Source organism: Homo sapiens, chromosome 15 (assembly GCF_000001405.40).
Source record: "Homo sapiens chromosome 15, GRCh38.p14 Primary Assembly".
Taxonomy (NCBI): domain Eukaryota; kingdom Metazoa; phylum Chordata; class Mammalia; order Primates; family Hominidae; genus Homo; species Homo sapiens.
In genome coordinates, this window is record NC_000015.10 from 81697009 (window position 1) to 81711764 (window position 14756).

General features: G+C 38.8%; 1 annotated feature.

Moving 5' to 3' along the window:
• Positions 456-1096: an enhancer, noted in NCBI's record as "NANOG-H3K27ac-H3K4me1 hESC enhancer chr15:81989805-81990445 (GRCh37/hg19 assembly coordinates)". NCBI's record gives its function as "activates a minimal SCP1, AML or CMV promoter by ChIP-STARR-seq in naive H9 embryonic stem cells {active_cell/tissue: H9 hESC(naive)}" and the evidence as "EXISTENCE:reporter gene assay evidence [ECO:0000049][PMID:30033119]".

Below are 14756 nucleotides of genomic sequence, written 5' to 3' on the forward strand. Positions count from 1 at the left end.
ACTAAATTAAATTAAATGAAAAGGATCAGCAAAGCCAAAAGGTGGTTCTTTGAGAAATCTAATAAATTTGACATAACTCTGGTGATAATCACCAAGAAAACAGAGAGGGAACCCAAATAAACAATATTAGGAGTAAAAAAGATACATTCAAAAGGTAGGGAGGAGCCAAGAGGCCGAATAGGAACAGCTCCAGTCTACAGCTCCCAGCGTGAGCGACGCAGAAGACGGGTGATTTCTGCATTTCCATCTGAGGTACCGGGTTCATCTCACTAGGGAGTGCCAGACAGTGGGCGCAGGCCAGTGGGTGCACGCACCATGCGCGAGCCGAAGCAGGGCGAGGCATTGCCTCACTTGGGAAGCACAAGGGGTCAGGGAGTTCCCTTTCCAAGTCAAAGAAAGGGGTGACAGACGCACCTGGAAAATCGGGTCACTCCCACCCGAATATTGCGCTTGTCAGACCGGCTTAAAAAACGGCACACCACGAGATTATATCCCGCACCTGGCTCGGAGGGTCCTACGCCCACGGAATCTCGCTGATTGCTAGCACAGCAGTCTGAGATCAAACTGCAAGGCGGCAGCGAGGCTGGGGGAGGGGCGCCTGCCATTGCCCAGGCTTGCTTAGGTAAACAAAGCAGCCTGGAAGCTCGAACTGGGTGGAGCCCACCACAGCTCAAGGAGGCCTGCCTGCCTCTGTAGGCTCCACCTCTGGGGGCAGGGCACAGACAAACAAGAGGACAGCAGTAACCTCTGCAGACTTAAATGTCCCTGTCTGACAGCTTTCAAGAGAGCAGTGGTTCTCCCAGCACACAGCTGGAGATCTGAGAACGGGCAGACTGCCTCCTCAAGTGGGTCCCTGACCCCTGACCCCCGAGCAGCCTAACTGGGAGGCACCCCCCAGCAGGGGCACACTGACACCTCACACGGCAGGGTATTCCAACAGACCTGCAGCTGAGGGTCCTGTCTGTTAGAAGGAAAACTAACAAACAGAAAGGACATCCACACCAAAAACCCATCTGTACATCACCATCATCAAAGACCAAAAGTAGATAAAACCACAAAGATGGGGAAAAAACAGAACAGAAAAACGGGAAACTCTAAAACGCAGAGCATCTCTCCTCCTCCAAAGGAACGCAGTTCCTCACCAGCAACGGAACAAAGCTGGATGGAGAATGACTTTGACCAGCTGAGAGAAGAAGGCTTCAGACGATCAAATTACTCTCAGCTACGGGAGGACATTCAAAGCAAAGACAAAGAAGTTGAAAACTTTGAAAAAAATTTAGAAGAATGTATAACTAGAATAACCAATACAGAGAAGTGCTTAAAGGAGCTGACGGAGCTGAAAACCAAGGCTCGAGAACTACGTGAAGAATGCAGAAGCCTCAGGAGCCGATGCAATCAACTGGAAGAAAGGGTATCAGCAATGGAAGACGAAATGAATGAAATGAAGCGAGAAGGGAAGTTTAGAGAAAAACGAATAAAAAGAAAAGAGCAAAGTCTCCAAGAAATATGGGACCATGTGAAAAGACCAAATCTACGTCTGATTGGTGTACCTGAAAGTGATGGGGAGAATGGAACCAAGTTGGAAAACACTCTGCAGGATATTATCCAGGAGAACTTCCCCAATCTAGCAAGGCAGGCCAACGTTCACATTCAGGAAATACAGAGAACGCCACAAAGATACTCCTCGAGAAGAGCAACTCCAAGACACATAATTGTCAGATTCACCAAAGTTGAAATGAAGGAAAAAATGTTAAGGGCAGCCAGAGAGAAAGGTCGGGTTACCCTCAAAGGGAAGCCCATCAGACTAACAGCGGATCTCTCGGCAGAAACCCTACAAGCCAGAAGAGAGTGGGGGCCAATATTCAACATTCTTAAAGAATTGTCAACCCAGAATTTCACATCCAGCCAAACTAAGCTTCATAAGTGAAGGAGAAATAAAATCCTTTACAGACAAGCAAATGCTGAGAGATTTTGTCACCACCAGGCCTGCCCTAAAAGAGCTCCTGAAGGAAGCGCTAAACATGGAAAGGAACAACCGGTACCAGCCGCTGCAAAATCATGCCAAAATGTAAAGACCATCGAGACTAGGAAGAAACTGCATCAACTAACGAGCAAAATCACCAGCTAACATCATAATGACAGGATCAAATTCACACATAACAATATTAACTTTAAATGTAAGTGGACTAAATGCTCCAATTAAAAGACACAGACTGGCAAATTGGATAAAGGAGTCAAGACCCATCAGTGTGCTGTATTCAGGAAACCCATCTCACGTGCAAAGACACACATAGGCTCAAAATAAAAGGATGGAGGAAGATCTACCAAGCCAATGGAAAACAAAAAAAGGCAGGGGTTGCAATCCTAGTCTCTGATAAAACAGACTTTAAACCAACAAAGATCAAAAGAGACAAAGAAGGCCATTACATAATGGTAAAGGGATCAATTCAACAAGAAGAGCTAACTATCCTAAATATATATGCACCCAATACAGGAGCACCCAGATTCATAAAGCAAGTCCTGAGTGACATACAAAGAGACTTAGACTCCCACACATCAATGATGGGAGACTTTAACACCCCACTGTCAACATTAGACAGATCAACGAGACAGAAAGTCAACAAGGATACCCAGGAATTGAACTCAGCTCTGCACCAAGCAGACCTAATAGACATCTACAGAACTCTCCACCGCAAATCAACAGAATATACATTTTTTTCAGCACCACGACACCTATTCCAAAATTGACCACATACTGGGAAGTAAAGCTCTCCTCAGCAAATGCAAAAGAACAGAAATTATAACAAACTATCTCTCAGACCACAGTGCAATCAAACTAAAACTCAGGATTAAGAATCTCACTCAAAGCCGCTCAACTACATGGAAACTGAACAACCTGCTCCTGAATGACTACTGGGTACATAACGAAATGAAGGCAGAAATAAAGATGTTCTTTGAAACCAACGAGAACAAAGACACAACATACCAGAATCTCTGGGATGCATTCAAAGCAGTGTGTAGAGGGAAATTTATAGCACTAAATGCCCACAAGAGAAAGCAGGAAAGATCCAAAATTGACACCCTAACATCACAATTAAAAGAACTAGAAAAGCAAGAGCAAACACATTCAAAAGCTAGCAGAAGGCAAGAAATAACTAAAATCAGAGCAGAACTGAAGGAAATAGAGACACAAAAAACCCTTCAAAAAAATCAATGAATCCAGGAGCTGGTTTTTTGAAAGGATCAACAAAATTGATAGACCGCTAGCAAGACTAATAAAGAAAAAAAGAGAGAAGAATCAAATAGACAAAATAAAAAATGATAAAGGGGATATCACCACCGATCCCACAGAAATACAAACTACCATCAGAGAATACTACAAACACCTCTACACAAATAAACTCGAAAATCTAGAAGAAATTGATAAATTCCTGGACACATACACCCTCCCAAGACTAAACCAGGAAGAAGTTGAATCTCTGAAGAGACCAATAACAGGAGCTGAAATTGTGGCAATAATCAATAGTTTACCAACCAAAAAGAGTCCAGGACCAGATGGATTCACAGCCGAATTCTACCAGAGGTACAAGGAGGAACTGGTACCATTCCTTCTGAAACTATTCCGATCAATAGAAAAAGAGGGAATCCTCCCTAACTCATTTTATGAGGCCAGCATCATTCTGATACCAAAGCTGGGCAGAGACACAACCAAAAAAGAGAATTTTAGACCAATATCCTTGATGAACATTGATGCAAAAATCCTCAATCAAATACTGGCAAAACGAATCCAGCAGCACATCAAAAAGCTTATCCACCATGATCAAGTGGGCTTCATCCCTGGGATGCAAGGCTGGTTCAATATATGCAAATCAATAAATGTAATCCAGCATATAAACAGAGCCAAAGACAAAAACCACATGATTATCTCAATAGATGCAGAAAAAGCCTTTGACAAAATTCAACAACCCTTCATGCTAAAAACTCTCAATAAATTAGGTATTGATGGGACGTATTTCAAAATAATAAGAGCTATCTATGACAAACCCACAGCCAATATCATACTGAATGGGCAAAAACTGGAAGCATTCCCTTTGAAAACTGGCACAAGACAGGGATGCCCTCTCTCACCACTCCTATTCAACATAGTGTTGGAAGTTCTGGCCAGGGCAATTAGGCAGGAGAAGGAAATAAAGGGTATTCAATTAGGAAAAGAGGAAATCAAATTGTCCCTGTTTGCAGACGACACGATTGTATATCTAGAAAACCCCATTGTCTCAGCCCAAAATCTCCTTAAGCTGATAAGCAACTTCAGCAAAGTCTCAGGATACAAAATCAATGTACAAAAATCACAAGCATTCTTATACACCAACAACAGACAAACAGAGAGCCAAATCATGAGTGAACTCCCATTCACAATTGCTTCAAAGAGAATAAAATACCTAGGAATCCAACTTACAAGGGATGGGAAGGATCTCTTCAAGGAGAACTACAAACCACTGCTCAAGGAAATAAAAAAGGATACAAACAAATGGAAAAACATTCCATGCTCTTGGGTAGGAAGAATCAATATCGTGAAAATGGCCATACTGCCCAAGGTAATTTACAGATTCAATGCCATCCCCATCAAGCTACCAATGCCTTTCTTCACAGAATTGGAAAAAACTACTTTAAAGTTCATATGGAACCAAAAAAGAGCCCGCATCGCCAAGTCAATCCTAAGCCAAAAGAACAAAGCTGGAGGCATCACACTACCTGACTTCAAACTATACTACAAGGCTACAGTAACCAAAACAGCATGGGACTGGTACCAAAACAGAGATATAGATCAGTGGAACAGAACAGAGCCCTCAGAAATAACGCCGCATATTTACAGCTATCTGATCTTTGACAAACCTGAGAAAAACAAGCAATGGGGAAAGGATTCCCTATTTAATAAATGGTGCTGGGAAAACTGGCTAGCCATATGTAGAAAGCTGAAACTGGATCCCTTCCTTACACCTTATACAAAAATCAATTCAAGATGGATTAAAGACTTAAACGTTAGACCTAAAACCATAAAAACCCTAGAAGAAAACCTAGGCATTACCATTCAGGACATAGGCATGGGCAAGGACTTCATGTCTAAAACACCAAAAGCAATGGCAACAAAAGCCAAAATTGACAAATGGGATCTAATTAAACTAAAGAGCTTCTGCACAGCAAAAGAAACTACCATCAGAGTGAACAGGCAACCTACAGAATGGGAGAAAATTTTCGCAACCTACTCATCTAACAAATCCAGAATCTACAAAGAACTCAAACAAATTTACGAGAAAAAAATCAAACACCCCATCAAAAAGTGGGCGAAGGACATGAACAGACACTTCTCAAAAGAAGACATTTATGCAGCCAAAAAACACATGAAAAAATGCTCATCATCACTGGCCATCAGAGAAATGCAAATCAAAACCACAATGAGATATCATCTCACACCAGTTAGAATGGCAATCATTAAAAAGTCAGGAAACAACAGGTGCTGGAGAGGATGTGGAGAAATAGGAACACTTTCACACTTGGTGGGACTGTAAACTAGTTCAACCATTGTGGAAGTCAGTGTGGCGATTCCTCAGGGATCTAGAACTAGAAATACCATTTGACCCAGCCATCCCATTACTGGGTATATACCCAAAGGACTATAAATCACACTGCTATAAGGACACATGCACCCGTACGTTTATTGCGGCATTATTCACAATAGCAAAGACTTGGAACCAACCCAAATGTCCAACAATGATAGACTGGATTAAGAAAATGTGGCACATATACACCATGGAATACTATGCAGCCGTAAAAAATGATGAGTTCATGTCCTTTGTAGGGACATGGATGAACTTGGAAATCATCATTCTCAGTAAACTATCGCAAGAACAAAAAACCAAACACCGCATATTCTCACTCATAGGTGGGAATTGAACAATGAGATCACATGGACACAGGAAGGGGAACATCACACTCTGGGGACTGTGGTGGGGTGGGGGGAGGGGGGAGGGATAGCATTGGGAGATATACCTAATGCTAGATGACGAGTTAGTGGGTGCAGTGCACCAGCATGGCACATGTATACGTATGTAACCTGCACAATGTGCACATGTACCATAAAACTTAAAGTATAATAAAAAATAAAAAAAAGAAAAAAAAAGAAAATGTGGCACATATACACCGTGGAATACTATGCAGCCATAAAAATGATGAGTTCATGTCCTTTGTAAGGACATGGATGAAGCTGGAAACCATCATTCTCAGCAAACTATGGCAAGGACAAAAAACCAAACACCGCATGTTCTCACTCATAGGTGGGAATTGAACAATGAGAACACATGGACCCAGGAAGGGGAACATCACACACCCGGGACTGTTGTGGGGTGGGGGGAGTGGGGAGGGTTAGCATTAGGAGATATACCTAATGCTAAATGACAAGTTAACGGGTGCAGCACACCAACATGGCACATGTATACATATGTAACAAACCTGCACGCCATGTACATATATTTAGGGTATGTACAAATATTTTTAGAGCATAGGTACATATCCTAAAACTTAAAGTATAATAATAATAATAATATAAGAAATTTAAATGTTTTTTCTGGAAACTATGATAAAATTAAGATAAAATAGCAATAAATGAAATGGAGGGACTCCTTGGAATTTTTATTGCAAATTTCTATAATGAAGAGTGTGTGTATGTGTGAAATCTTTCTTACTAATGAATTAGTAAAATCTTAACATACAAGGCAAGCTAAACAAATATTATCAGCAAATGCAAAAGAAACGCATCCTTATTTTATTCAGGACCAAATATCTAGAGTCTTGCTGCTATCTAATCCACAGATACAAACTTAATCAGTTTCTCGTTAACCGTCACATCTTCATAAAGAGCTGAACTGTAGAACCACTGATAAGGAAACAACAGTAATTAGTCAATCTACATGCAGAGCTATCTTGATGAAAATTGTGGCTTTGATAAATTTATTATAGAATTATTGGGAGAGCATAGTGCTCTGAGCTTCCAAATTATTAATTATTTTAGAAAGATATTTGGCAAATGCATCAAATCATTATATCATTTGAAATAACATCTATCCAAACAAGCTGATATATAATCAAAAATATTTGAGCCAAAAAGTTCACTGAACTCTTTACAAAGGGGAAAAATTAGAAACAACCTACAAATCTCATCAATGGGATAAAAGTTGCTTAAGTTGCCATATGTCTGCTCAAGCGATTACTAACTCACTTTTAAATGAGCTGTCATGCAGGGTTTATAATAAGAGGTAAATGCCAAACACATAAAGTTAAAGGGAAAAATTGGGTACAAAATTTTATGTGTAATATGACTACAAACCAAAATATGCAAAAATAAAACTATATAGAAATAAATTTGAAAAGCAGTATAACAACATACTAACTGGTTTCTGTTGCTTGCATGAATATAAAGGATTTCTCATTTTTTTCTGTATAATTTTGTCCTTTTTCTAAAATTTCCATAACAAACATGTACCATTTTATAAAAGGAAAGATAAACAGTAAAATTTATGTTTTTAAAGATATTTCTGGGATGTTTAAAAGTTTTATTATGAGTTTCAAAGAGCCACTCACTGTCTTTGCATAAAACTGAAATATCGCAGGAAACTGAATTTACCATTTTAATTTTATTTTCTGTTTTCTTATTGGCCAAAAGTGTTCTCCTGCTAACTTTCAGTTTTGGGGGTTGAGGTGAGATTTAAAGAAATAAGTAGTATCTTATATAATGATAAAAAGTTAATGAGTCTCTTCCACTTTGAACAGTGTGAGGGTGTGACCAAGGCCTTCAGAAGCAAGGCTCTCCATCCTCTGCTCTTCACACTCCCAGGCTCATTTCAGTGAAGGAGTTGCTTACAGGTCCCTTGTGTTCTATCTTACTTTTGGGTGGCTGCTTTCCCTAAATATGTCTCCTATGTTATGAGACAGAATAACACTATGGGGATGAGCTCAGCCCTGGGATAGAAAGCCTGGGATTCCAGCCCCAACTCGGTAACTTCCCAGCTCTGTGATTTTGATAGTTCTTTGATAATCCTTTCATAGGATAGTTGATATCCTAACTGCTAAAACAGATAATAATAACAATACCAGTACTCATTCACAGGGTCATTGTGGGGATTAAATGAGGTAATACATATCATATTAAATGTTCAATCAGTGTTAACTATTAATGTATCTCATTTGGGTAAGTCAGTAAGAGCCCTTTTAACTCCCAATTTTAGTTTGCATTTAAAAGCCACTGATACCTCTGAATAAAGGCTCCTTCTTTGGCCTCATGACCTTTATATTTTCATCTTGTTACTTGCTAGTTCTTATTGGCTCTGCTTATTTTGGAAACTCTACCAAATTTTGAAAAAAAAAAAACTGGCTTGCGGCCTTGAAATGATGAGTTTTGATATTTTATACTTGAAAAAGTTAACATTTATTTGCTCATAAAGTGATTATGCTTTTTAATGTATTTCCTCACTGGTAAAATGACAGAGGTAGTGGATATGGGTGCTTGGGTCTCTTCTATAACAGTAGTACTCAAGCTTTAATGTTCGCAGAAATCGCCAGGAGATCCACGTGAAAAATGCAGCTTCTGCTTCCGTAGGGACAGGGTGACGCCTGAGGCGCTGCATTTCTAACAAGCTCCCAAGTAATGCCAGCGATGCTGGTCAGTGGACCACATTTTGAGTAGCAGGGATCTGTGATATTACCTTCAATTCACGTTAACTGGTCAGTTATAATGATCCTCCCCATGGTATAAATATTACCTTAAGCAAGATACTTAACCACTCTCAGCTTCATTTTCCTAAAACGAAAAGTTAAGATAACACTCACCTTCTAAGAATGTTGAAAGGATTCCATGCATCAATAGATGATGCATTTGAAATTTTTGGCAACAATATGAAGCATACTGTGGGTGTTAGTAAATTCTACTTGTCTTTCCTTCTCTATTAGAGACTGAGGTAGAGCCTGTCTTAGCCAATGACCTGCTAAACATCACCTTCATATTATTTGATGGTGTAGATCATTAGATATTTGAAATTAATGGAAGATCTACATAGGACATATTTGAATGATGGAGGACAAGATGATAACAGCTTACATTTGTTGAATAATCACTTTGAATCAGGTTTGTCTGATTCAAGTTCCCTTGGCTCGCTCTCTCTCTTTTTTCTTTCTTTTCTTTTTTTTTTTGTTTTTTTGTTTTTTTTTTCTCAAGTTTTTAAGATAACATCATTTGGAGAAGAAGCCGTCTTCATGATCTTCATGTTTGGGCTCTACTTCAAAGTTATATCTCAGCCCTCAGAAGACATGAAAAAGACTTGTAAGATTTCATCTTGAAACGGCTTTTTAAATCCATCAACAGTAAGAAAAAAATGTAGATGTAGGTGGTTTATAAATGCCCTTTTAGGCTTGATCGATTGTTTGTAGCTATAACAAGCTACCTTAACAGTCAAAAACAAAATCTGGAGGAAAAGAAAATGCCTCCAATAAGAAACGCTGATGCAGCCTCCTGAGCTTGTGGTGTCTGTGGAAAATAAGAAATGATTAACTTCCTTTTGTGAGTATAATATTACCCACTTCATAATGATGGTATAAGGATTAAATGAGATAATCCTAGCTTTTTTTGTTACTATAAAAATAAAGATAGTCTTTTTATGTAAATTAGCTAGGGTAGGACTTGTTTCTCTGTTAAGATATGTTTGTTATAGTCTGTTTTAAAAGCACTGTGCACGAGCAGTGATACGATGGAATTAAAGAGAGATTTGCCTATGGGCTTTTCCCTTTATGTTACATAAGGAAAACTTGAATTTCACGTTTCCAGCCACATAGTGATGACTTTGGCATAAAGAGTTCACCAGGTAGGAGGTGGCCCCTTGTGCTGAGAGCCAGCATTCTCATGGAAAATTAAAAACAACTTTATTTTTAGCCATGAAAGTGCAATCATTCTTGTGCTCAAATATGCTTTACATTACCTAAAAAAAAGTTTATTGGCACTGAGTCTGTTGTGTAACTGAGGAAACCATTGTGTGCTATCAAAACACACTAATGTAAAAACCAATCCAGTGAGCAACAGAGTGATGGAAGAAACAGGTAGCAGGGCCGAGAAAAACTCTTCCGGAGGTTGTAGAGGAAACTAAAGCAGGAGAAAAACTGCCTAGTGCTGAAAGGTTAGAATAAAGACTTTATTTAGTCACTTGGGAAAAGGAATTCAAAGTCAGAAAAATGATTACATTAACAGTGAGTGCAATATTTGGCCTGTTTGGATGCAAATTTTTCTTTCCTATTTGAAATGGCCAAGTGTCTTTGAGATGTCATATTTTTGTTCTCTACAGTGCCTTTCTTGGGGGAAAGTCCTAAATTCCTAAACTTAGAGAGTGGAGGAAATGCTCAGGGTGATTCTTGGAGGGAGGGTAGAAGTAAGCATTTTGAAAGTAGGTTAACTATAACTAAACTTTGATTAAGGCATCAAAGGAAAACAGGTTGGAATTGACTAATCGTGGATCTCTTGATATCCACAATTATTAACTTGATCTCCTGGATCGCTGGGCTCATGTTTGCAGCTCTCAAGGTTGTCTTTTACTCTTAATACAAAAGCATTACCAGCAAACTTTATAGTAATTAAATTAAGATAATCAATACTAAGGCAACTCTGGACAGCTTAGGGGCAGGAAAGCCTTGGCATATAAGCCTGAAATATTTTCCTCTTCCTGGTGTAAGGGTAGACTGTAATGACCTAGCTTATTTCCCTTGTGAACACCACTCTGCGAAACTAGCATCTCAGGACAAGCACTGCCCTCATGCAAACAGCTACCTCCAAGATGAGATGCTCCCGGAGGTCTCTCTGACCTTCTCCTTGTTTCTGTGAGAAGACTCCACCTTGTTTCTCTCCTTCCAGGAACCAGGTTGTTTTCTCATTCATCCTCAATATGTTTTATTAACCATATGCTTTGCTGCCTCCAGGCAACGTACAGGCAATGCAGAGAAGAGGAAATCCAAAATCCCATTAGTGGGCAGGGAAATGCAAGAAAATAAACCCAACGAAATTCGAAAGAACAAAATATAAGCTAGAAACTGAAATTAATGAAAAACATTTTCCCTCCCCAGAAATGAGTTAATCAGCAAAACCAAAACTTGTTCTTTGAAATGACTCATAAAACAGATAAACCCTAGGCAAATAGGATCAAGAAGGATAAGAAACAAATAACATTAAAAACCAAAAAATCCTGACACGTGGATAAGTATGATGTTTGAAAATTTCAAGAAGATGTTAATACTATGGAAAACTTTATAATAACAAATTTGAAAATATAGTTGAAACAGACATTTTTCCCCTGGGAAATATAAAAGCAAAATTGGCCCAAATTCCCACACATGTAGAGCCTAGAATTAACCACTGTATTTATAATTCCAATTCTTCTCCTCTAGATCTTATCCTATCTTCTGCAAAACTCTACCAAACACTTTTCCTGGGTGGGTTCCTCCAGTTGTATCTACATTTTTCTCATTGTGCTATTGTTTGTATAAACAGGGCATGATTAAGGTGACTGGGGGAGGAGGGTGCCTGAGTGATTCAGTGGCATTTGGCCCCTCCATACCATTCCATCAAACTCCTCATCCACTCTTCAAGTTCCAGCAATGGGCACATTTCACAGTTTATCTCCCCATTGTCTGTTTCTCCCCAAGGTGTCAGTGATCGGTACATCGTCCCCTGAATTCTCAGAGTTCACAGATTTCAATTTCTTCTATATCTATTCATTAACACTAATATATTTTTCGCCTCTAAAATAAGGTCCTTTGCTGCAGATCAAGACTTCCAACTTGCCCTATACCTATATAGAAAAATGGCTGGAAGGATATACAGCAAAATGCTAAAAGAAGGTACCATAGGAATATAGTTGTTTATTTTTATCTTTGTAGTTTTCAGTGCTTTTCAGATTTCTATCTTGAGTCCCTTTTGTAGAGGAGGCCACTCTTATGTTTGCTGTGCATCCAAATATACTGTTACTTTACTTTGAATTGAAATCAATCTCTAGATAGATAGACAGATAGATAGATAGATAGATATAGATGATAGAGAGATAGATAGATGATAGATATATAGATAGATAGATGATAGATCGATAGATGATAGATAGATAGAAGATAGATAGATAGATAGATATAGATAGATATGTATGTAAAACATATATGAACATGTAGAGAGATATACAACTATACAAAGATCTATATTTTGGATGTGGGTTGATTTTATACCCAATTTTTTTTATCTATACTTCTTTTTCTTGGAATTGTTATTTTTTGCAGTGAACAATATGTTTCACAGACCTTTCCACATTGGTACATGTAGGCTTATCTGCATCTTTTGCAAGTACTACATAGTCCAGATTTACCATGGTGCACTTATCCCAGTTTTGATGTTCATTTCCAGTTTTACCTGTAACTAACACTGCTGCAGTTAACATGCTTGTACTTTCATACAGGGCACATGCAAGTGCATCCTTAAGGTAGAAACAGAAATGAATTGCTGAGTCAGAGGAGACATATTTTTCACTCTAATAGACACTGCCAAAACTGTACTGTAGAATAGCTGCAAAAATTTATACTTACAAAAACAGTGTATATTTATCACAGCACAATTCACAATTGCAAAGATATGGAATCAACCTAAGTGCCCAGCAACCAATGAGTGGATAAAGAAAATACAGAATATACGTATACCATGGAATACTACTAAGCTGTAAAAAAAGAGTATTAATTTCTTTGCAACATCATCAATATTTGATATGATAAAAGTTTGTTACTCTGATGAGTGAAAATTACCTTTCTTTTTTTTAACTTACATTCCTTTGTTATTGAAGTTGAATATCTTTTTACCTATTTATTAGTCATTTGTATTTCATTTTGTACAAATAGGACTATTTGTTCATTGTGATACTAGCAACCGTATCACAGAAGAGGTGTACACTCCCTGCGATATTGGGAGTGATATCATTCTCTTCTTTTGTGAATATTAGGAGCAATATCACCGGGTGGCTGGACACCCCCTGCTCTATTGGGAGTAACGTCATACCCTGAACCATGGATATTAGAATCAGTATCACAGGGTGGGTGTACACCTACTGCGATATTGAAACTAATATCATGCTCTCCCTCCCTATGAGGAACAATATCACAGTGTAGACCCCGTGCAGTATTAGAAGTGATAATAGTGATAATGTCACTATTCATCAGTCATTATTATTATTATTAATAGTAACTGATAGGGATTTCTAACATAATGGTATTATTAATTATTTATAGTAATAGATGTTATTAATCAACATCAATTGCTACGGTTTTATTTACTATTGCTATTATCGATATTATTAATATTAATCGTTATTATCAATATTAATAATTAACATTATTTTCATTGTAAGCACTTTAGTTACTAATAGTAATTATTGATATTAATTAGCATCATTTTATTAACATTAATAATTGATATTATTAATATTAATAAATATTATTGTTCCTGATATCGGTGGGGAGACGATGCTATAACTCCCAGTATCACAGAAGGCATACACCACCTGTGTTGTTCCTAATAGCCAGCGGGTAGAGGATGACATTACTCCAAATATCGCCGTGGGTATACATCCCTTCTGTGATATTGTTCCTGATAATCCAGGGGGGGAGAGGATGATATTACTTCCAATATTGCAGGGGGAGTAGACCCCTCCTGTGATATTGTCTCTAATATCCAAAGGTGGAGAGGATGATATTTCCCCCAAATTCACAGGAGGTGTACACCACCCCTGTGATATTGTTCCTAATATCCAGGGGGTGAGAGGATGATATTAGTCTCAGTATCACAGGAGGTGTACACTCCTTAGTGATATTGTTCCTAATATCCAGGGACGGAGAGGATGATATTACTCCCAATATACCAGGGGGTGTACATCCCTTCTGTGACATTGTTCCTAATAGCCAGCGGTGGAGAGGAAGATATTACTCCCAATATCGCAGAGGTATACACGCCGCCCCACCCCCGTTATATTGTTCTGAATATCCGGAGTGGGAGAGAATGATATTACTCCCAATATCTCAGGGGGTGTACATCTTCCTGTGGTATTGTTTCTTATATTCGAGGGGAAAAGATGGCATTACTCCTAATATTGCAAGGGTTGCACACACCTCCTGTGATATTATTCCTAATATCCAGAAGGAGAGAGCATAATATTACTCACAATATCGCAGAGGGTGTACACCTCCCCTGTGATATTGCTCTTAATATCCATGATAGGAGAGGATGATATTCCTCCCAATATCGCAAGAAGTGTACAGCCTCCTGTGATATAGTTCCTAATATCTAGGTGGGGAGAGGATGATATTACTGCCAATATCGCACAAGTGGTAAAACCCTTTCGAAGTTTTTCCTACAATCCGGGGGAAGAGGATGATATTACTCCCAACATGGAAGAAGGTGTACACCCCCCCGTGACGTTGTTCCCAATATCCACGTTGGCAGACGATGATATTATGCCCAATATCGCAGGGGATGTACACCCACCTTGGGATATTGTTCCTAATATCGAGAGGGGGAGAGGATGATATTACTCCCAATATCGCAGGGGCTGTACACCCACCCAGTGATACTGTTCTTAATGTCCAGAAGGGAAGGGATGTTATTACTCCAGATATCGAAGAGGTTGTACTCTCCCCCT